General features: G+C 40.9%; 1 protein-coding gene across 1 annotated transcript in view; it reads right to left on the bottom strand.

The window, feature by feature from the left end:
* The window catches only part of TSPAN7 (tetraspanin 7), a 127377-nt gene continuing 104450 nt past the window's right edge, over positions 1723-24649 (bottom strand). Inside the window, exons 2-8 of the mRNA NM_004615.4 lie at positions 24332-24520; positions 19191-19265; positions 16325-16420; positions 14781-14936; positions 9354-9437; positions 2967-3042; positions 1723-2702 (exon numbers count right to left, since the gene is read on the bottom strand). Of these exons, the coding sequence (NP_004606.2) occupies positions 2974-3042; positions 9354-9437; positions 14781-14936; positions 16325-16420; positions 19191-19265; positions 24332-24520 (669 nt within the window). The 3' untranslated portion in view covers positions 1723-2702; positions 2967-2973. The remainder of the gene's footprint in view (positions 2703-2966; positions 3043-9353; positions 9438-14780; positions 14937-16324; positions 16421-19190; positions 19266-24331; positions 24521-24649) is intronic.

Genomic DNA, 24649 nt, shown 5'->3' with positions numbered 1-24649 from the left:
CCAAAAAGCATATACCATAATGCTCATTGCAGCTCTATCATAGTAGCCCAAACCTAAAAAACAACCCAAATGTCCAGAAGAATGGGTAAACTGTGCTATATTTGTATAATGTAATCCTATACCACAATGAAGACAAGACTATGTTTACATGCACCATGTAACTAACTCTTGCAGACACAATGTTGAGTGAAAGAAGGTACACGAAACAGTCCACACTGTGTGATTCTATTTATATGAAGTTGAAGAAGAGACAAAACTAATCTATGGGAATATAATTCAGATTAGTGGTACTCCTGGGCAGGGTCGAGGGGATGTGAGAGGGCTGCGGTTACTGACTGAAAAGGGACACCAGGGAACCTTCGAGGGTGCTGAAATACTCTGTATATAATCTGGGCAGTTGTTTACACTGGTTTGTACACATGTGCAAGTTCAAGTTGCACACTTCACATTTTGTGTTTTTTACCATAAGTAAATGTTATATTTCAAAAAAAGGGCAGGGGAAGATAATAAAAGAAAACAAGAAAGTATTTCAATTTGTGTCTTTTAAGTTTCCTTTGAAAGAAGAAAGGACATTACACACAAGTCACTCAGAGTTGAAACATGAACACTTGATAGTTTTAAAGTAAAATCAACCTTGGTCCAAATGTTTCACATTAAAAGTATGTTATTCTGAGATCTGAATTTAATTTAGAAAGTATATAGATTTCTTACTTACCAAAGTATACCAATAAGCACATAGTTTGCAAAAAGATAAACCATGGGTTGGGCTCTATTTAGGATTTTACAGAAAAGCCTCATTTCGATATATAATGAAATAGAAATTACAAACAGAAATGTGAAAAAATTTTGAGCTACATATATTTCCATAGAAGAGCTCTCCTTAATTCACTAAAAATGCTGACCTTTTGAAGAGGGTATACTAAAGGTTTAAGCAGTGTCCTTTGTCAATGTTGTAGTAGGGTTTACTCTATGCAGAGATCAGGCTAATAAATGCATACAGTTAGAAAGTCATCTCTATTCTAATTACAGTCTGTGCTATAGAGAAGAGGGAGCCTTTTAGATCCACTCATTTTGGTAACAGATCAATTTATGCTTTTACTAGGTTTTTGTTTTTTGGATGACTCATCAAGAAGAAATGGATTGCAAATAATACACTGCACCTATTGGTAAAATGCTCTTTAAATCAAGTGTAAGCATTCCATACTTCAGTACAAACTGGGACATTGGGATGGCTGAATCGTAGGATGTAATCTCTTCTCTAGATCGTGTTTTTTCAATCCAACACAGAAAAGAAAGAGGAAAGAGGAGAATTCATGCTCATTAGAAGCGATGAAGGAAAGAATAGAGGCTCATTTCCTTTTTAACAAAATGAAATCCAGACTTTAAAAACTCAGCTGAAATCTTTGTATTTATTTCACGGATTTCAGGCCCAAGGATTTCAGAGGCCTGAAATGATATGAAGGCTCTATTTCCACAGACAACAATGTATTCTGTTCATGATAAATGGTTAAAGTTTCTGAAGTGTCCATAACAATAATTAAAAAAACCTAACCCTTTAGCTTCTCTGCTGCTGATGCTATTTTAGTGGGGTGGGAGCACACATGGAGAGGTGTGTCAGTGTGTGAGATGGTCCACCTGCCTGCGATGTCCTGAAGAGCAAGATGGAAAAGAAATGTGTTTTAAAACTTTCATAAGAACCAAAGAACAGAACCAGAACACAGCTGCTTGTAATTGCTCTATTTATTAATACATATATCACAAATGTTCACAATATCAATGCATTCTTGTTGGCATGCTAGACAGAGGCATTACTTTTGAAGATCTTTTAAAAATATTTTGACTTGTTCCCCCTTCACACTCATTTTTAAATTGTTTGGATGAGGTCCTCAATGTCTATAATGTCAATGCAAGAAAAAATACAGAGAGAAGTAGTAAAATAACACAATAGCAATTAATTGGGGAAAAACAAAATATCATGGCCTTCACAAGAAGCAACAACACAGCTTTGTAACAGGGTTATACAGGTTTCAACCGAGAGGCAAAGATGCACTAAACTGCCTACACATACCCAGGTATGTAACAAGCAAGGAGGCCACCTCAAGTTCAGTTTCCTTCATGCATGACACATGCTTTTTTTCTCCTCATGGACAATTATTGAAGTGTTTCGTTACATGTCTTAGGCAGCCTGAAGAAGGTAGGAAAGCCTTAGTAGAGGGAAAATCAAACCAAATGAGATTAAGTCAAAAGAACAGATAACTATCGTCTGCTTATCTACTTAAAGGTGTGTGGCATTTACCACAGTGAGGAGCTAACAGGAGCCTCCCACACTACATGCAGGGCCCAAAGGGGCCAGCGATGGTGTGATAACCAGTCACCGATGATGAGTTGCAGTTGGACCAAGTACAGATGGAGGGGCTGGCCCATGCAGGGCCTCGGGGTGAGGTTCACTAGGACTAGCTGCAGGGGGACCTGGCTACACTCTGTGGCACAACAGGGCTTCACAAAATGGACACTACACGTGACGTGGGCTGAAAGGTGGAGCAGAGACTGGGTGGGAGTGTCAGTTGCACGTTGTGGGGTAAGGGGGAGAGGGAGCAGGGCAAGTGTATTATGTACTGTGCTCTAACATTCTTTGGAAGTCTTTCAAAGATTGCTGCAGTTCCTTTTTAAAACAGGTCTCTTATTCCGTCATTCTTGAAAGACTAAGAGAGAAATGAGAACATGTGAGTGATTCACCAGTAATAAGGACTTGAAAGATAACAAGCTGAAAAAAGCATTTCCACATTTTCCACAAAAGAACCAATTATACTTCCTTCCCAGAACCACAGAAATGAGATTTCTGAACATGGACAAGTGCCACCAAGATCAGGTAGCTCAATGGCCAGGGAGTACTCCTGCACATTTGAAGGGTAGTAAGTGTCCCAAAGGGGACCCCTCAAAATTAAACACTCCCCACTGTCACCTACCTTCTCCTTACACCATCTCATACTGATTGGCCGTGATGAACCGGGACAGACAGCAGGCCAGCAGCATGCCAATTAACTGTTGCCAGGGAGAAAAACGAAAATGAGAATCTCAAGTCACCGAACCACACCCTTTTAATATTTAATTAATAATTTTATATATTTATGGGGTATGTGATTTTTGACATATGCGTATCACTAGACATAATTTTTTAACAACCAAGTGTTTCTGTATGTAAATGGGGAAAGGGCACTAGAGCAAAAGATAAAACCAGATTTCAACCATGGGATCTCAGCTGTTGGGAGTCTAACTGCAGAGCCAACTGGAAGTTCTCAAACTGGCCATCATGTTGCAGCTGTAGCTCACTCTGGCCATTTAAGAACAACTTTTGACACTTAAGGAGTATTAAAATTTGTTCATGTTATGAGAGTAATAAAAAAATTAAGGAACACAGAATTTAGTGATATATTAACTAGAAGGCTAAAATTTAATTCACATCTATAGCACATGCATTTGGAAGATTTCTCAGCATACTATGATGTCTCAGCCATACCCAGCTGACAAAATAATAGTTCTTTCCTTGAGGCAAGAATAGAGACACTATTCTTGATCAGGCACATTCACCAGTGAGGTAAGAAAGCCAAGGCTTATGAAAAGGTAGGAGGGGCTAGGGGAAAGTGGGGCTTTATATTCTGTCTCTCGGCCATGTAGATATCTTAGGCCTAAGTGGGCTCATCTACACCCAGGGCCCACCTCCCAGTTTTTTTAGGGGCCTCAGGACCACCAGTGATGTAGTACCTCCACCTCCTCAGAAGATTCTAGTCCTCCACTTGTCTTTGTGCCTTGATCTAAACTGTGGCACAAGTGAATCTAATAAAGATGACTGTGATACTCTCAAGACACCCTTAAGCACATCTTGTTCTGTTCATTAGAAAAGAAAATTTCCATTCATGAATCTGGAGGATCAGCATTCTTTAGAGAGGAGCCCAATTGTGCACTTGAGTCTACAGGCTGCTTTCTCTTGGCCAATGTAGTCCCTCCTCCTTAGATAACTGGGCATGTTTTACTGGATCAGAGGTGGGAATAAACTGTTTCACTAGAAGTGTGACCCCAGGACCAAGAGCATCACGATCGCCTGGGATCTTTTTAGAAATGCACATTCTCAGATCTCGCCCCAGACCTGCTGAATCAGATATGCTGGGGGGTGGGGCCCAGTAACTGGTGTTTTAACAAGTCTTCCAGGGCAGGGAACTGCTCATCCAGTCCACCTAGTCACCCTTATCTTATAGGTGAAACACCTGCTGCCACTTCAGGTCCCACTGTTGGTCAGGGCAACACCTGAACTCCATTCTCCTGGCTCTTAACCTATCCATGCAGGTTCCAGTTCTCATCTCTTATCTTCCTTTTTCAAATTAAAATTGTGCTGTGAAATATGCAAACTATAACCGCTTTCAGGTAAGGAGGCATCATCATCTTATTGGACTCGTTCTATCTCCTACCAAGGCTCTGGCCAACATCATTTGGTGCCATAAAATACATAGTCGCATGCACTTACTGCCAAGTGGCTGAAGATACCATGGCTGTAACCTTTAGAATATTCTGCCAAATGAGAAACTAAAATATGAGTGTAACGACCTTGAACCTTATAGCTTGTCTTTTTTATTAGAACTTCCATTTTCCAGAACCAACAAACACCAGAACACACTTGATAATGTCAAAAATCAAATAAGTGTCAGAGGTATATAACACATTCAGGTAGAACAGATTACAGTCATCCCTTAGTATCTGTTGGAGATTGGTTCCAGGACTTCCCAAGGATAGCAAAATCCTAGGATGCTCAAGTCCTTGATACAAAATGGTGTAATATTTGCATATAACCCATGCACATCCTCCTTTATATTTTAAGTCATCTCAAGATTACTCATAATACCTAATACAATGTAAATGCTGTGTAAATAGTTGCTATACTATATTGCTTTTATTTGCATTATTTTTTGTTGTACTGTTATTTTCAATCCATAGTTGGTTGAATCCATGGATACAGAACCTGCAGATACGGAGTGATGACTATATTGAATATCCAGGCTGGAGTGCAGTGGTGCAATCTCGGCTCACTACAACCTCCACCTTCCAGGTTGAAGTGATTCTCCTGCCTCAGCCTCCTGAGTAGCTGGGATTACATTTGTGCGCCACCACATTCAGCTAATTTTTGTATTTTTAGTAGAGATGGGGTTTTGCCATGTTGACCGGGCTGGTCTTGAACTCCTGGGCTCAAGTGATGTGCCTGCCTCAGCCTCCCAAAGTGCTGGGATTACAGGCATGAGCCACTGTACCTAGCCTGTACTGAATATTTACCACAACCTGTACAATATTACAATCTCAGTTTTCCAGATAAGAAAACTGAGGGTTATGAGAGGTTAAAGAATACACCCCAAGCTACACAGGTAATTCTCAGAGCTTAAGGTTGTACCCTCTTGTCCTATCTAAGAATAGCCCCAGCTCTGTCCTGCCCTCTACATAGAAAAGGTAAACAGGTCTTCTCAAGGGCCCCCCAAAAGAAAAGAATGACCAGCACATAATGAATCACCTTAGCAGCATTTAGACCCTGGAGGAGGCCAGACAGGAGGGTGAGGGTTAGAAAATGGATGGGTAGTAATAGGGTCTGTGTTTTCTTATGAGTACCTTTTCCTTTTGAATTTCACAGACTGAAGTCTTTTTGTTATAAAAGCACAAAATGAATTCCCTTCAGGTGCTATCAGTGGCAGGAACAAGGGTGATCTCTGGCCTTAAAAGTTAATACAGCAAGCCAGGTGAAGAGGTCAGAATTATAATCCTGGATCTATAGTAGCTGCCCAACTTCAAGCGAGTCACTCAACCCTCCCCTTCTGGAAAACAGCTCTACTGTCTTTACTCAGGACTATAATATTACGTGATATGGGGAATTAATCCAGCCTAACAGGTTCCAAGTCTAGCAAAGCCCTGGGTCTATTTAGACACAGAAGTACTAAATACAGAAGCCCAGAGGACACCCCACCACCCCACCACAGACACACATGCATATGTACATATACACAATGTCACAAATTGAACAATAAACATGTCCATGCCCAGACATCCCATGGCTCTTGTCTTCCAGGCCATTTTGGGGGTGGGGATAGGACAGGGGTGATGTGCGTGCATGCTCCATCTCTCACTCTCCCCACAAGCCCTCGAGTGAAAGAGCAGTTGCCAAAGATGCAGCGAAGAGGTACCCTACTAAACACACTCAACCTTCTGCTATAAATTTATAGGGCAGCAGACCCTGCCCATCAAGTCCAGACAAATGAGGTTTACCTTGAGAGGGCAAAGGTAATGGACGTTTGTAGAGAGAAGTGTTTAATGCTTGACACAACCCTGCTGCTGTTCAAAAACAGCACTCAGGAGCTTTCAATTAGCTAAGTTAGCTAACAGGGGACAAAGTTCTTGCCCAGTCTATTAAAAGGCTAGACCCAGCTTAGTTTTCCTAATACTTTATACCACCTTTAATCTTTGAGACAATAGATGTGCATGGCCAGTTTCTTCCAAAAGATGATAGCACGGAGGTCACAAGAGCAAGCAAAGCAAAGGGCAAGAAAAAGGTCGAGGGCAGGAGAGCAAAAGTGGGAGGGAGGAAGAGAGAGAGCGAGCTCTGTTCTTTCCTACCTACTTTGTCCTCTCTGTGGCCTCTAACTTAGTAGAGCCTTCTTTATTATAGGAAGGCTAAGGCATAGGCCAACACAACTGGTTCATCAATATCAGCCAACATTTGCTAAATTTTACTATGACATTGGCTCTAAAATTTCTGAACACATGTAGCCAAAGGTCTGGTTCCAGGTCACTGACCAGAATCAGTAGGGCTGGTTCTTTGTGAACAGGCATCTGGTAAGTGGCCACCATTGTCCCAGGGATGCCCTGGATCTATGGACGTCTGGAAGCCAACTTCAGCTTTCAGGACCCCTGAGGCTGACAGCACCATAAATAGCTGCAGTTCCTGGTGCATCTGGCTGGCAGAAGCCAGCCATAGCCATTTCTCTTCCTGCCTGAACCTGGGAGCAGGTCTCAAGTCTCTGCCCTGCTGGACCTGCCTGGCCACATGGGTGAGCAGTATGGGCACCATGGTATGATGCCACTGGGCTTTGTGTTTTATCACCCCAACAACTATGTGGCACCTTGATGAGACTTAAACTCACTGCAGAGAGTTTCAGAGTTGGGGTTCCTTAAGGCCAAAGCCGCTCTCTTACTGGCCTAGAGGGTCACAGTGCATATTCAACAATTCACAAATCACAGATTTCTTTAAGGTAGCACAGAGAGATTAATCAGGCCAGATAATTATTTGTCTAATCATACATTTCTTCATTGGGATGTGTGAGAGAAGAGTGGAAGAGAGGTATTAATCAGGTTCATTACTTGGAGAAGGATCCATTTGATTTGATTCATCTCATTAATGAAAATAGGATCCTCTTAATACCACACACACACTCATGCTCATGGCCACATGGGAATATTCTTGGATGATAAGGTGTTTCATTCATGAGATTCCAGGTTCTTTGAGGCTCTCTTCTCCTAATGTACAGTATCAGCATAATCTCCCTTTATGGTTCTAGGATAGCTATTAGGGGAGACTTCAGCAATATTTTTTTTTCCTCCAATGGGACAGGTCTCCTCAAATGCCAAACACAAGACGCCCTTTTGATGTTAACAATATGATGCTACACATACATATGTTAAGTAAACAGGATGTTCAAGGCTGTCAAGTGCATCTTGCACATTTGCATCAGTCACCAGGGTTTGGGGATCCTCTAAAATGTCCCTCAGTCATTAGAGTGATGTTGCTGAGTATTATTATTGAAATATTATAGCAACTAGAAGAAATTTCAGAGTAGCAATGACTTTTCAAATGTCTCTGGAGACTGAGTTAATTTGCATTGTTTGTGACCCCACTCTGGTTTGTCTATGTGTTGGAGGGTTGAGGGTTTAATTCACTTCATGAGCTGCAAAACAAAAACAAAAAATAACAAAGCATGGTAAAAGATAGTTTTGAAATTGCAACAAGAAACATATTTGTGTTGGCTGAGCCCACGTTCTCTTGTGAGATAAAATGTCTCACAGGTTTTGTAACTGCTTAAGAAGAAAAGCTCTTCTACTTCTCTAAGGCTGTCTAGTAAAAAACAAACCATCAGGCTAAAGTTCTATTCCTTAATCTTAGCGAGGGTTACACAGCTATGTTCATTTTGTGGTAACTTATTAAGCTGTAAACATAATTTATGCACCTTTCTGTATATTCCACATTTCAATTAGAAAGTTTTAGGAACAAACTGGAATAAAATTAAAGTGCATCTGCATTGCTAAGCAGGAGGGCCAGAGATACAGATGGCTAGGGAAAAAGTAATTAGAGTCTGAGATAGCCTATGTAGAAATTAGAGTTGTGGTTTGTTGTAGACACCAGGTCCTAAATAAAAAGAAATAAAAAAATAATAAAAAATGAGAGCTGTGGAGACATTACTCAGACAACATTAATCGAGCTTTGTTTGAAACATGATCTGTTGGTCTGAACAAAGTCTGAGTTAAACATAAACAAAGTTTGCTCTTGCTTGTTAACTATACATGTTGATTCTTCTACCCAAAGCAACATTATAGCAAGGATGTATCATTTGTCTGAGAGATCAGAAGCCTGTGGAACCATGCCCTGCCTGGTGGACGTGGGCTACATTTTAGATTTAGCTTAATCTTATTCTATCCTCCAGTGTGTGTGGTTTACTTAATTGGCATAGTACTTCTCCCATTGTTTTTTTTGAGGGTAGGTACAGATAAAGGGATATAAAATTTAATACACAAAATTTGATTTCCTCTTAAGAAACCACATAAGAATAGTCAAACCTGTTACGAATAGCCAAACTTAGAAATTAAAATAATGATCACAAGTTGAAGTTTGCTAAATTTAGGCTTTCTTTAAAGGGAGAGATCTCATCTGTAATACATAGGAACTAAGAGAGAGCAAAAAAGGGTTAGGTCAATCAGGAAAAAAGCTTCCCCCAAATCCAGATCAGCCATTTGATGTTTTGAGTTGTTTATGATCCAATTATGCCAGCACGTTCTTCAGTTAACCTCCATTTGACCTACAGAAGTAGCCAGTTGTTTTTCTGGAGCTAGTCATTAGTTTAACTGTAACTGATATTCCCTTGATGACAAAACTTCATTTGAGTTGAAAAAGAAAAATCAATAAACAGATCACCTGAGGACTAATGAGCAAGGAGCTTTGACCCCATCTATCAGCTTTTCCCAAAGCACAGGAAGGCAGGCAGAGAATCTGGAGGCCAGGGAGGGAGGCAGAGGAAAGGTTAGACCAGGTTCTGCACAATTATGTAGGCTACCTGGGAGAATGCGATTCCAAACGCCACTCCAGCGATGATTCCCATGTTAGTCTCCATGAAACTAGTTACCAGATCATAACAACCCTGGAAAGAGAAAGACACTGTCTTGGAGACATGTTTTCACTCAGGCCAAGCTGGGCTATGTGTACTCGAAACACTCCCAACATACACTTCAACCTTAATTCAGCAAATACAATTGCAACTCACTCTAGGGATTTATTAGCATTCTTTTCAAACTTAAAACAATAAGAAAAGGTTTCAAACATACACAAAAATACAGAGACACATGACCCTTCCCCTAACATCACAAATTAACATTTGGTCAATCTTGCTTCATTGGAACCTCCCCAAATCCCATCCTATTTAAAGCCAATCCCAGACACAATTTCATTGACAAATGTTTCTGTAGTAGGATTAAGTTTAGCAAGAAATCTGTAAGATCTATGAAGCAAACACTATAGAGACAAAGAAGTAGACTTGAAAAGACATTCCGCATCCTTGAACAGGAAATCTCAGGATCATAAACATAGTTACTAGCATTTTGACAATGAATGATGAAATCTTGAATAAACAAACCGAAATCATCTGGCTAGAGGGAAGTGTTTGAATATCTGCCAACTTTATGGAGTTTTAGGGTTCTTCCTAATGAGACCATTAGGATTTTTTAAATAGGGAAAACCTATGTTCTAGGGTCATCTTTTCCAGAGAGAGAGAGAGAGAGAGAGAGAGAGAGAGAGAGAGAGAGAGAATTTGTAAGTATATTTATTTGAAACTGGCCAAATCAACCTAGAGTCCTGAACTGACTTATTCAGCTAGGAAGACATGGTCTTTTTCCAGTTTTCTGGAAAAGGGCTTCAACTAAAATGTATAAAGTCTGCGAAAAATAAAGACATTAATTTAATAAACAGATTAAAGCTGGTTCTTGTTTACCAAGAATGGCACACTAAGTTTTAATAACATTTGAAGAAAAAAAAAAACCAGCCATGTTTTCCCTTTTTAAGTTCAAATTTAACAATTTAACATTTCTTATAGCTTGTAAAATATTCTGGCAATGCTGTGTCTTCTATTAAGTGGTATCTATATACATTTGTAGTCTGTGTGCAGGAAAAAAAAATGGTGCATTAACTTACCAGTAGTGCTTTGAGACATGTTTTCTTTCGTTTTTTAAGTTCAGGGGTACATGTGCAAGTTTGTTATATAGGTAAACTTGTGTCGTCGGGGTTTGTTGTACAGATAACTTTGTCACCCAAGTATTAAGGCTAGTACCCATAGTTGTTTTTCCTGATCTTCTTCCTCCTCCCACCCTCTACCCTCCTATAGGCCCCAGTGTGTGTTGGTCCCTTTGTGTGACACATGTTTTCAATGCAATTGACAAACTATACTCCTTAGTTATCTGATGCAAATTTGAAGGCCAGGGTAGGAGTGGGAAAGGAAATACATTATCACTCATGGGGAGTTTTGAAATTTGATTCCCCATAGTAGAAGCTTACTGATTTCACTTTTACTAGTGAGACTATATATCACACATTTTTTTTTCATTTTTTCTTTTCTTTTCTCTTTTTTTTTTGAGACAGAGTCTTACTCTGTCACTCAGGCTGTAGCTGGGATTACAGGTGTGTGCCACCATGCCTGGCTAATTTTTGTATTTTTAGTACAGATGGGGTTTCACCATGTTGGCCAGGTTAGTCTCAAACTCCTGACCTCAGGTGATCCACCCACTTCGGCTTCCCAAAGTGCTGGGATTACAGGCATGAGCCACCGTGCCCAGCCTCACACTATTTTTCAAAAGGTAGTAGAAGAGAGAAGAATTTGTGTTAGAAAGAAGACAAAATGAGAAGAGATGTGGATATTCTAACACTTTCCCAAAAGGTAGCAGCTAAGACAGCAGTTTACCAGGCTGGCCATCATTACTATATCTTCTCCCTGCAGTGATGATGGGGCTAAAGAATGAGGTCCAGATCAGCACCAGTGTTATGTAAGCTCAAAATTTGGAAACACAAGCCTGATAATACAACTGAGAGAGAAGCAGAATGAGCTATTTTCTTATTCTGCAAAACAGTTTGGCATAGATTTTTTTCTGGGCACTTCAATTCTACACTTAAGCTGAATATATTTTCTAAAGTATGATTTCTACTTCATTCTAGAAGATTTTAGACTTGGTCACATTATTTTTGGTAAGGCCACTCCAACCAGTAGGAGAAACCAGAAAAAGGAAATAGCTGCCTGGCATTAGTACAACTGAGCCGAAATAGTTCTCTCTAAACCTTGTTCCTCAATGTATGGATCTTGAATGAGCAGTATTTCTTCACCTAGGAGCTTGTTAGAAATGCAGAATTGGAGGCTCCACCCCAGACCTACTGAATCAGAATCTGCCAAATCCATGGGTTATTGCTTTTGACATATTTTTAATGAATTTTAACCAGATCTCCCGACACTTCATATGCCCATTAAAAGGTGAGAAGCACTCTTCTATAAGAAATGTTTTCTCATTATTTTTTACTCCAAATAAGAAAGCAAGTTAATGAATCATATCAGTAATAGGATTAATTAAAATGAGAAGATATAAGTGACTTAGTTTTTTTGTTTTTAAACAATAAGAGACCAATGTCAAAATAAATGTTTTCCATCTCTGGATTTTTCCGTTATTTACTGCATGAACCCCGAAGTTCATTTTCCATGTCTCAGCACAGATCCACATACTGCAAGAGCTGATTTAATACTGCAACCACAGGCCATGTTTACATTCAACCTTAAATTTTCCCCTAAACTATGATCTTATCTACTCACAACAATCTCTCTCAATTTCCTAATATGAAAGTCGGTTGTCAGGTGTGAGATAAATCTACACAGACCTGCTAAGTATCCTAGGAAACACTCAGAACAGTTCATTTGCTCACTCTCTCAGCACGTCTAAATCAATAGTCACCAATGGAAAACATCTGCAAGTGACCGACTTTAACTACTAGAAGTAGAAAGCTAGTTCCAGACAGGTTATGGGAAGAGGTATCTCTGTAACTGCCAAGCAAAGTAACTATGTTCCTCTTGCCCTTACGAACTGTCAAAGAATCCCTATGAAGTAGGATTTCAGCCAATGCTATTAGCCAACTGAACGTGCAGACATTTCATCATCCTGCTAGTAAAATCAAAATAAAACCTGTCCCCAAATCCAAACAATAAATATCCTATTTAACTGTTCATATTTTCCTCCTGTTCTCTCCCAGTTATCTGTACAAGACAGGTTTCTCAAGCTTCCTGGTAAGAGCCAAGAATCATCTTTCTGTGCTATCAGAGTAAGTACAGGGTCCAAGACACCACAGGATCTACAGGGATGATCCACTTGTTCTAAATCATAGGATTCCATATAACTAGAATGTGGCAGTAGTTAAGCTTCCTAGGGGAAGGAGTCACTGGGAGGAAGGGTAACATTTATGAGCATCTACTATTACCCCATTCCAATCTTCCACCTTGTATAGATTAGGTGTCTGACATTGAGTCAGGAAAAGTAATTTGTCTCATAAGTTCAGGTGGGCATTAAATAAGAATGTCTAAGGAAACTTGCTAGACAAATTTTAGTTTTCATTCACTTTTTCTCCTCTGAGGGAGCCAGGTTGGAGGCTATAAGGTAAGTAAGAGAGAAGTTAAGCAGATCTTCTAAGTATTTGAGGTGGCCAGGAAAATATAAAGTTGGATTATAGTGGGAAGGTGGAAAGTGAGGTCAATGTGTAGGTTTATCAATGAAATGAAAAAATGTGACCCCATCTCTCTTTCTGGAAATAATTGTAAGGATTATAGATGCACTATAAGATACGTCTCCAAACTTGTTTTTACATACTAACAAAAGATCCTCCCTATAAGAAACTGCTGCATCATTTTTAATAAAAGACTCCATGTGATACAGAAGACAAATTTCACCATCATCATTTGTATTACAGTTAACATGTATCACATCTGTGTCATAATCTGTGCCAGGCACTGTGCTTTTGACACTTTATCTCATTAAATCTTCAAATCAAGCACAAGGAACATGTACTATTATTATCCGCATTTTACAGACAAGAAAAGCAAGACTGACAAAGTTAAGTAACTTGACCGAGATCACATAACCAACAAGTGGCTCAGTCAGAATTTCTACTGGAGCCTGACACTAGACCCTGTGCTCCTGACTTCTGGATCCTCAATTTTCACAAAAGAAGAGGAAGCTTGAGTGGGGGGAAAAAAAAGACTTGGGTACTGCTTTCATGAACAACCTTCTGAAGCTCTGTTATATCAAATATCTCACTGCCATAGAGTACTTCTTGCCTTCCATAAATTGGAGTATCTACCACATGCCAGGTATGCTTAGCACTTCATAAAATGGAAGCATAATGACACGTATGGGTACTCAGTGGGGATGTCCATGAGGAAGCCAGAAGTTACCTTATTAACTAATAAGAGATGAAGGAAGCCTCAATGTTTGGGTTCATAAGAAAATTCAAATAGAAACAGATGTCCTTTTAACTTAGACAAGAAGCAGTCAGTACTGAATCTTACTGAACTATCTTTTTTTCTCTGAATTATTCAGTAGCTGGTCCAGATCACATAGAATTTTGAAGGCATCATATGAACAGAATTTTACCTTAGCAAGAAAAGATTTACCCCTTGACTGAATAACAGGAAGTAAACACAATAGTAGGTTTTTTCCTCCCTTTTGTTTACCAAAATATATGTTATATATGGTATTTCTCTAAACATTTAAGATGTAGATAATCTTCACATGCAGTTATATCATGTCTTCATCGTATTCTCTGTAAAATGGAATGCAGAATTGATTTTCCTCTTCTCTGACTACTAAAACTTCATTTCCCTCATTTTCACTATGTACTAACTTTTAAATTTCGTTTAGTCCTCTTTTTTCCCCTCTCTAATTTCTTTGGGAGTCGGGAGGTTGACAGTGAGTTGAATCAGAGTTGCTGATTTCTTTTCCTATGGCAGTAAACTCCCTAAAATAAAGGCCACCCTCCTAGCAGAAGCAGATGCTGTCTGTCAACTCTACTCCCCTCTTGCTGTCAAAAACTGACACCCAGCTGCAAACAATTTCATGTTTAGATGGTATATTAAGCAGAAGACGGACACCCCAAAAGAAGAAAGCCAACACTCGCTGTCTGACATAAGCATCAGGGTTAACAGGAACTGCTTGCTAAACCTTCCTAACTATGCCTGGTAGATCCTTGCTGTGGGAGAGAAAGACAAGGCTGATCTGAGTCACAGCTTTCTCTTTTAGAAGTGAGCAGCCTCAAGTGCCTCTCCCAGGCAATCAAGGAACCACAAAGTAAGATTCTCTTTCCCTTGACTACTATTTCAAATCTATTTGTCATAATTTCATGGAAATAAAAAAGCCCCCCCAAACATTCACCACTGGTCCCATCTGGGCCAGGAGAAAGCGGGTACCTTCTGGTTAACTTTGGTGGCGGCCACAGTCAGATTGTGTAGATCCTGGGGATTACAATCAGTTTCGTTCATGCAGCAGCTGGGGGGGATGCCATGCTCCAGGAAGTAGGGGCTGGTGCTCCAGTTGGTGTAGTTCTGCACACCACAGCAGCTCAGCTATTAACAGGGAAAGGAAAAGAATAAAAAAATGGCAGATCAAATGTGGTCTCCTCAATCACTGCCTTGTGACTTTTATAAGAGAAACACAGGCAAAAGCCCTAAGACAACATGTGCAGCTTTGGTGAGTCAAGATGAATGGAAGCTCCAATAACAATTATACCCATATTGATGCTTGTTTGATCTCCAAGAAGGAAGTTCTAAATTATATATCACATTGGCTTTCTTATTACCTCCACAAAGCAAAGCAGTGCGTCTGTGTCCAACTCACAATCACCTATTGATATAGATGTACTCATCCACTAAATCAGGACTATTGATTGGTGAGTTGAGGCAAATATGGTTTCAAAAAACTCTCCCCTGGGATATCTACTAATAAGTAAATAAATAGTTCTTAAGAAAAAAAGATGCACATACAGAAAGGGAGAGCCAAAGCTGGTAATCTATAGCCCAGGAGCTACCTGTTTTTGTAAATAAAGTTTTACTGGGACACAGCCACAACTATGTGTTCACATACTGTCTGTGGCTGCTTTTGTGCTACAGTGGCAGAGATGAGTAGTTGTGACAGAGTTTATGGCCCTCAAAGCCTAAAATATTTACTATTTGATCCTTTACAGAAGAAGTTTGCCAACCCCAATGTAGAGAATATTAAAGCAAACGGGGCAAAAATATAATTAATTGGTAAATCTGAGTATACAGTTCCTTGTAGTATTCCTGAGACTTTTCTGTATATGTTGGAACTTTTATCAAAATAAATTAGAAAAAAGACTTCTTCTGAAGTAAACAAAACCAAGAAAAACCAAAGCAAAATCCCCCTTAGTGATTCCTGATGGGCAGTTATGCTTGAGTGCCAGCACTTGCCACCCAGACAGGAAATCTCTCTTCTATTTCCCCCATATCCTCCGCAAAGCATCAGGCAGCTCACCACCTTCACATACCTAACAGAGCCTCAGTTTCTTCTAGGTCCACTCTATGCCCACTCCACTGCCCCAGCCAGTGAATGCAGCTCGCCTGAGCTCTCCACCCAGCCTGAAGACATCGATTCCAGAAAGCCAGCCTCCGGGAGCCAACTCTAAGCAAGGTTGTCACACACTCACTGCCTAACTCCTTCACAAGGGTTCAGATCTGAAGAGCAAATGAGCTGTCCTTGCCATACTTGCAACCCTTACTGATACAAGGCACACTCAAGGGAGTGGTCCTCCTTGACATTAATTACCTGAATAACTGGAGCCTGGACAAGGACTGGGTGTCAACTCTTGGCAATGGAACTGGACTAAGAGTTGAAGAACGGGAACAAATAGCAACTACTGGGCCAACCTACAGGCAGTCCATAAGTCTAAGCCTAGACTTCATAGTTAGTTCACACCCTCATCTCCTCTGGAACTTACGCTGCGCTGCACATGGTCCACTGCCCGGCTCCTCTCATCATTGCCATTGTAAGTCTGCATAGCGTCCGTGTAAGTCCTCAGGAAGGTGTCCTTGATCTATGGAAGACAAGGAGGGATGTGATTGCAGTCCACCACAGCCCAAACTGACTCCAATTCTTACCAAATTCTACCCTAACATAGCCTCTTCTGAAAGTCTCTGTATAAATGTAGGCCAGGGAGGCAATGCCCCATTTTCTGAGATGGAAAAGCTCAGAAAATTCACCAGGGGGTTTTTAAGCTCCGGAATTTAAAAAATTGTTCCCCTCAGCCTCAATCCAGAGAAAGCCTGACCTGCTGAATGACCTACTGGAGGGGCCTGTCCATTTCTGAAAGGCCTGTGATGGTGAGCTGCCAAACCTCAGGCATGAGCTTTCTACTTATTTTCTTTGAATTGATTAATACCCATCTTTCTATAACTTTCTCTGCCCTTACACAGGAGGCTCATAAAAGACAAACCACTTGGGTGGACAGGATGACTGATGTTTTGGTCAAAAACTGATCCCTGTTTTACCATAGGAGTGAGGCAAAACCAACTTTCACTTACCTGTCTTTATTGAGGCAAATTAAAAAAAAAAGATAATAAAGGACAAGAACTTAAAAAGGTTGGCTAGGTGCAGTGGCTCATGCCTGTAATCCCAGTGCTTTGGGAGGCCGACATGGGCAGATAACTTGAGGTCAGGAGTTCAAGACCAGCCTGGCCAAGATGGCAAAACCCAGTCTCTACTAAAAATACAAAAAAAAAATTAGTCAGGCATGGTGGCAGGCGCCAGTAATCCCAGCTACTTGGGTGGCTGAGTCAAGAGAATCGCTTGAACCCAGGAGGCAGAGGTTGCAGTAAGCAGAGATTGTGCCACAGCACTCCAGCCTTGGCAACAGAGCAAGGCTCTGTCTCAAAAAAAAAAAAAAAAAAAAAGTTAACAAAACCTTTTCTGTTACCACATTTGACTTTGGGGTAACTTTCAAGCTCTGTTTCCCTGGAAACCTGATGAAGGTGGAATGTCGAATGTGTTACCAGGCCACTGAGTTTATTGATAAAACTGACCCCCAATTGGTAAAATGCCTCCAGATTGGGAGGACAGCAAATGACAATAACTACTTGGTGGGAAGCTTAGGGCTAAGTATGGTGACTCTCCTAACTAGGCATATTCTTTGCTAAAATGCTGTAAACTATGTCCATGGGACAGTTACAAGAGATAGAGATACCAGTTACATGCAGCTTCTAAGCTAAGGTGGCTACCACACCCAGCTGTGTCATCTCATTTCGCTACACTTAAGCTGTCTCTTAGGATGGGGGACTGTACACAGAATAGGCACTAGACTATTTTGAGGACTCATGGTGGAGAAACAAGCCCACTACTGCCTAGCAGGCAAACTGTGCTTCCTTTGTTATATCTTTCTGCTTTTGTTAAATGGCACTAAATGAGACCTATTGTCATCATGTGAGTTTGACTAGCCAAACTCAAGACCAGCGCTGGTGGTCAGAGTGGCATTGTACCTTCCTCCCACAACAGCCCTCAGGGTTTCAGCCAAAAGAGATTAGGTACATGAGGATTTCCAGGCCCTAGGCAGCAAGCACCATTAAGAGAAAAACCTCTCCACAGAGCGCACTCCCAGCAACAAACAAGAGGCTCAGGTAGGAACAAGCCAGGCTGCTCCTGGTGTTCATACATGCACGAGGGGCACTTATTAGGGCTGTTGAGGCTGAAACTTCATCAGGTCTCACTTCACTAGAGACTATGAATGGGGTTCTAATTCCAAATGCAGCACCCATACAAACTGGGTTCTGGGAATCAGCTTTGGCATCTGGGATACTGTCTTTGGTAAAGGGGAAAAACAAGGCAGTAGGGGAGCAGAGAGCATACAGTCAAGCTCAGGGGGAACTGAACTTGGCCAAGCACAATAGTGGGATCTTTAAGTGTGCAGCAAGATGGGTTAATGAAAAATTTTTTAAAAAAATTAAAAAAAAAAACAGGGCCTGGGAACAGATGATGCCAGCCTTTCGAGACCCACAGTAACACTCTCTGTTTTCCACCTGTATATATTTTTTTTCTTTTTCTTTTTAACACATGTGTATCTACTTCTGGCTTTACTATTATTTATGGAGAGTCAATGATAAAATTTTGAGGCAGCAAGACAATTAGTTTGGCTTGCCTTTATAGTCTTAGAAATCTTGTTATACAGATATACACTTGTGCCTTACTGAAGCAGCTATTTTTAAAAACAAAAAATAGAGACAGGATCTCACTCTCTTGCCCAGGCTGGAGTACAGCAGTGTGATATTAGCTCACTGCAGCCTCGACCTCCCAAGCTCAAGTGATCCTCCCTCCTCAGCCTCCTAAGTAGCTGGGACTATAGAAGCAAGCCACCACACCCAGCTAATTTATTTTTTTTATTTTTTAGAGATGGGGTTCTCACTATGTTGCCCAGGCTGCTCTTGAACTTCTGGCCTCAAGAGATCCTCCTGCCCCAGGCCTTGCAAAGCTCTGGTATTGCAGATATGAGCCACCATGCCCAGCCTGAAGCAGCTATTTTTAAGGAGTATGAAATCCATATTGAAGGTCACTGCTTTATAACGGGAGAGAATCATTTTATGCAATGGCTACACAGAGAAACAGTGAAGATCAACAATGAAGGTTTCAAGCTTGGTGGAATTCCCACATTTAGAATTTCATGAAAATTTCAGGTCATATGACATGATCTTTGGAAAACAACAACACCACTGAGGAAAACAGCTAGCCTATATGCACCCTTTACACATTTCAAGAGGTTTCAAGAATCCTCCTCCCAAACACCCCTTAACTGAGTTCTGCATTTTGTGTATACTCACCTCATGACGAAACACAAACCCTGAAATGCCAGCTACGAGCTCAGCCAGGAACACCAGGGACAGAAACATGGCATACTGAAAATTAAGCACACAAAGACAAAGTCAGATACATCAGGATTAAGAAGAGGGCTTCTTCAGGGTAGGTTACTTTCAATCAGCGGGAATTAGACAAGTCCTCACACTCCCTAGACAAAGTTTAGAAAAAAATATAAAACATTCGTCTCTAAATTTACCCACATAAGCCTCAATCTAGGAATGTGTGTTTAATATGCATATGCATTTTGGAGTACACAGGCTGGGGAGAATTCACTGAGAGACTGGCATTGTGCCTATCAGCTTGGCTCACCTGGAGAAATCTGGAAGGAACTTTCACAACTAAGGTATCCACTATTTGTTACACTAGAATCTTTGAGCTAGAAAAAAACCAAACTGCTCTGAAGGTCACAGGACACATTCTGCCCTGTCTGGGGGTCCTTTTTTACCAACTTCCTCACGACGGTCTGCAAGCCAATTCCCTGCGGCCCATTCCATTTTGAAACTGTTCCAATTGTTGGAAAGACTTCCTTTCCCTTTGGCCACAAGTCTGCCTACTTCTAACTTCCACTCACTGGCATTGGTGCTGCTTTCAGAAGAAATAAGAACCAGCCCAATGTCTTTTCTCTAACGCTAGCCCATCATGTTTGTGAACACGGCCAGGATGAGAACCTGCTGCCTAGGCAAACGCCTCCAGTAGTCTCAACCACATCTCAGATGAAACAGTTACAAAACTGCTTCATTTGGAATTGTATCCCTCCCATCTGGGCCCAAGAAGCCAAACGTGTGCAAGATGATGTTCCTCTTCAGATTGGTGGTCATCACTGGACACAGTAGCCACTGCAGCTTTCCTGTGGAGTTGCCTGCCTTTCTTGTTCGGGATGCTGCGTGGAGTTTAAAGCCTTTCAAAAAGTAAATGCACTATACTACTAATGACATTTGCAAGCATCTAACGCCTTTAGTGCTTTTCATCTCATGCTGCTGATACTTCTCAAGTTTTTTGCATGTGCATGCACATGCAAGCACGCCTAAATTCAAGGGTAGTACATGGTATTTACGAAACATTAAGGATAACTTTGAAAGGCAGATAAAAACAAGAATTGATTCCTTACCTACAAGGCACATGTCTTACAATCTGCTTCTTATTTCAAAATGAAATATAATGGTTTTGAACATTTGCAATGGCCCTAAACAATGCTGTGGAATTTGGATAGATTGCATGTGGCCACATTACTTACCTGTAAAGTATACACATGTCTCATAAAGTATACATATGTATGCTGAGTCATAATTTTTTTTTCTCATCTAGTGGCACATATATCGAAAAAGGAAATGTTGGCTTAAAATATTAATTTCTTTCTAAATATTAACAAAATTCTCTAGAAAGCACAGCCACTCAAATACTAAACATGTAGTTATGAGAATGCCCCATGTACATGACTTCTTTCCCAACTTCATACAAAATGCAATTCAAAGCAGAGTTTGATGTGAGACTCTCCCATTTTGCTGATGGGATAAGCCTAGACTCTTCCAGAAAGTTGGGTGGGAAAATAACTGTTAGCAGGCAGGTGGAAGAAAGGGCATTTATCTCTGTAGTCAGAAGTCCTCCTAGGTTTGAATCCTATCTTGTTATGAACTACCTCTTAGAAAGGAGGCAGCCTCTCTGGGCTTCCATAAAGTAGACATAGTTATTTTCAGTTGTTTTGCAATTAATGAGGTTATATAAGGACTGCAAAATTCTAGACTGACAGTTAATCAAGTGACTTCCGCTCTCATCAGCCGAATCAGCAGTTTTCTGTGTCTGGCAAGTTTCCTGCCTCTAGGAGCTTTCAGAGAGTGGCCGTTTTACCTACAGAAAGCATTTGCCAAAAGCCTATTGGGACGAGCTTGTACTAAATACAGGTCAGTAGGGGTTAGAGCTTTTTTCCCAAATGTAAACATTGGAGTTGAAATAGTCCTAGCTTTGGAAGGAAACATACAAGGGTTCAAATCCCAGCCTTCCATACATTAGCTGTGTGAATTTGGGTGGGTTATCTAAACCCCCAAGTTCCTATCACATTATATGAAAATATAACCTACACTGCATGGTGGTAGTGAGGAGAAAAATAAAATATCATACGCACCCAGTATAGCCTCTATCACATAAAAGGACCAAATCATATTTTAAAAATTTTATTGTTTTTAACTAACATATAATAATTGTACATATTTATGGGGTACAGTATGATGTTTTGATACATGCATACTCTGTGTAATGATCAAATCAGAGTAGTTAGCATATCCATTACCTAAAATATTTCTTTGTGGTGGGAACATTCTAAATCCTCTCTTCTAGCTATTGCTAAATATGTAATACATTAACTATAGTTACCCTACTATGCAATAAAACACCAGATAATTCCTCCTATCTAGCTGTGACTTTGTACCCATTGGCCAACCTCTGCTTCTCCCTCCTCCCCTGTCTCTAGACAAAAAAAAAAATAAATGCTGATGAGGATGTGGAAAAGGGAGAACTCTTATACACTGCTGATTGGAATGTAAATTAGTACAACCACTATGGATAACAGAGTAGAGGTTCCTCAAAAAATTAAAAGTAGAACTACCATATGATCCAGCAATCCTACTGCGGGGTATATACCCAAAGAAAATGAAATCAATATGTTGAGGAGATAGCCACGCCCCCATGTATATTGCAGCACTATTGACAATAGCCAACCTAAGTGTCCATACACACTGGACACAATGTGTCTATACACAATGGAATACTATTTGGCCATAAACAAGAATGAAATCCTGTCACTTGCGACAACATGAATGAATCTAGAGGATTAAGTGAAATAAGTCAGGGAAAGAAAAGACTAATAACTGCCTGATCTTACACATATGTAGAATCTAAAATTTGATCTAAAAGACATTTTTAAAGACCCAAATTAAGCCCCAAACCAAAAAACTTCTCTACTTCCCAAAATGCTCACCTGCCAGTGAACTTGTGTTAGGAGAAGAAAATGGTAGTGTGGTGTGAAGCCACCTCCAGAAGAGGCCAGAACTAACTATTCCATTGTTTATACACATATCCTATTTTATGACATTATACTCAGCTATGGGATACTTCTGCCCCACAAGCAAATTGAGAATTAGAACATAAAAATATCACCTCTCCCACCCCTCTCCAGTCATAGTATTTGGGCCGGGAGAAACTTTGGTGATTTAGTCCAATTCTATTTTGTTACAATTGGAGACAAAGGTCCAAGGAGGTTACATCCTTGCCGCTAAAGACTTTAAACAGTTAGTTGGAATCAGTCAGGTCTCAACACCACATCACTTCCCTTCTTGTTTGAATGGATGGTTTTTTAGAATTTTTTCTTTTCTCTGCTTTTGAAGTTAATTCTCCCCTTGCTACTCATTGTGCTAAACAAAAGGTTCTCAATACTGGCTACAAGATTGAATCCTCTGGAGAGCTTTTTAGAAAATAAGATGCCAGGGCCTCACCACCACTGAGGAGTCTACTTCAACCAGCTAGTGGTGGGATGCTGGCAAAGGTTTTTGCAAATGGCTTCCCAGGTGATTTAATCATGTATCTGGAGTTGAGGACTATGGCACTAGACCAAAAGAAACCCTAGTGTTTATGAGAAGTACTAGAAGGTAGACTCAGGGTGTTAGAATAGAGTGCCAGGTGACAGCAGCAGAAGCCTGGCCCATAATCAGGATGGGCCTCATTATGGCTTGCCCATCAACCTGAAGAATCAGTGGCGGCTGAGGCATCAGCCTCCTGTATGGTCTGCAGGATAGAAAATGGCAAAGTCAAGCACCACTTCTATGAGGTTGACAACAGAGACTGACTGCCCAGTGCCAGTTGGGAAGATGGTTCCTTTGGAATGAACCACTCTCACACCCACATATATCACTAGATGGTATTAAATGTTACTACAACCTAGGGCTACACAGGGACAGGCAACATGGCCCTGATGGAATCTTTGCTTCTCCCTTCACGGAGTAAGATGCCTGAAATAAATATTTTTAAACAAAATTTTATTTTGAGGACAGGTCCTTGCTAATTTTTATCTATAAAATCCTTTACCATTAATCCCCATCAGTGAAGAACATGAACAGTGAATAGAGAATTAGTTAACTGCTGTACCTAAAAGTTAAAAATCACAGTAATAGCCTTTCAATAGTCTGCCCTTATCATCTGGGAAGCATCACTGCTTTATCTGTCCCATGAGAGTATGCACCCTGCACTGGTCCTGGTAGCCAACACTTGACACTGCATAAGTCCTCTGGGTGGCAGGCTCTGGCTTAGCTCAACTCTCATAGCACTGAGACAGGGAGTACAGGTTCAGAGAAGACCACACACATGCATCCATGCATGGCCAGGCTCAAGGAGGTGGAAAGTATTTCTCCAATAGGAACTTGGAGGTGAAAGTCTGCTTATGTTCAGGATGCTGCCTTGCCACCAAAGCTGCATATCACATGCTTAAGGAGACTTCTAAGATATAGTTCAAAATTGAAACAGGGCGAGGCCGGGCACGATGGCTCAAGCCTGTAATCCCAGCACTTTGGGAGGCCGAGGCAGGTGGATCACGAGGTCAGGAGATCAAGACCATCCTGGCCAACATGGTGAAACCCCGTCTCTACTAAAAATACAAAAAAAATTAGCTGGGCGTGGTGGCGGGCGCCTGTAGTCCCAGCTACTTGGGAGGCTGAGGCAGGAGAATGGCATGAACCCAGGGGGTGGAGCTTGCAGTGAGCAGAGATTGCGCCATTGAACTCCAGCCTGGGCAACAGAGCGAGACTCCATCTCAAAAGAAAAAAAAAAAAAAGAAAAGAAACAGGGCATCTTGTCATGAGGATACAAATGGACTACTGCAATCACTGGCCACTGCTTTGTCATCATCTACCCAGAGGGACTGGGACTAGATTTAGTGTGCCAGGCTGTGTTTGGGGTTGTTTTTACCTCTAGGGGATTAAAGGATGGATTAGGAAAGAGTCTGGACTGAAATTGTTAAGGTCTTGTCTGTGACCTCAAGACGAACCACTTCACCTCCATGTAATTTATATTTTTACAAAAATATAGTTGAGAAAGCAGTATTATGTTGTGACATACTCACCAGTTTCAGCATCCATGGGCTACCACGACATGTAGCAAAGCATCCAAACAGGCCAAAGACAACAATAGTGGTGCCAGTTCCGATGAGCACATAGGGAGCATTTGTGGAGTTCTCGGCAATAAGGGAGATATAGGTGCCCAGAGTAAGTTTGCCCCAGACTCCAACAGCCAGCAGGATCACCCCAGTGATCTGAAAGAGGGAGAGGAGAGTGTGAAGCTATTGCCAAGAGAGGTGAGAATCAGCACAGAGCAATGTGGCCAAATTTGAAGACTCAAGTTTCCGTGAATAAGACGGTACTTGCTGTAGGATTCCCTGAGC

This window comes from Homo sapiens, chromosome X (genome assembly GCF_000001405.40).
Source record: "Homo sapiens chromosome X, GRCh38.p14 Primary Assembly".
NCBI lineage: Eukaryota > Metazoa > Chordata > Mammalia > Primates > Hominidae > Homo > Homo sapiens.
Note: the sequence above shows the minus strand (reverse complement) of the source record. Positions and strands in the feature narration are given on the sequence as shown.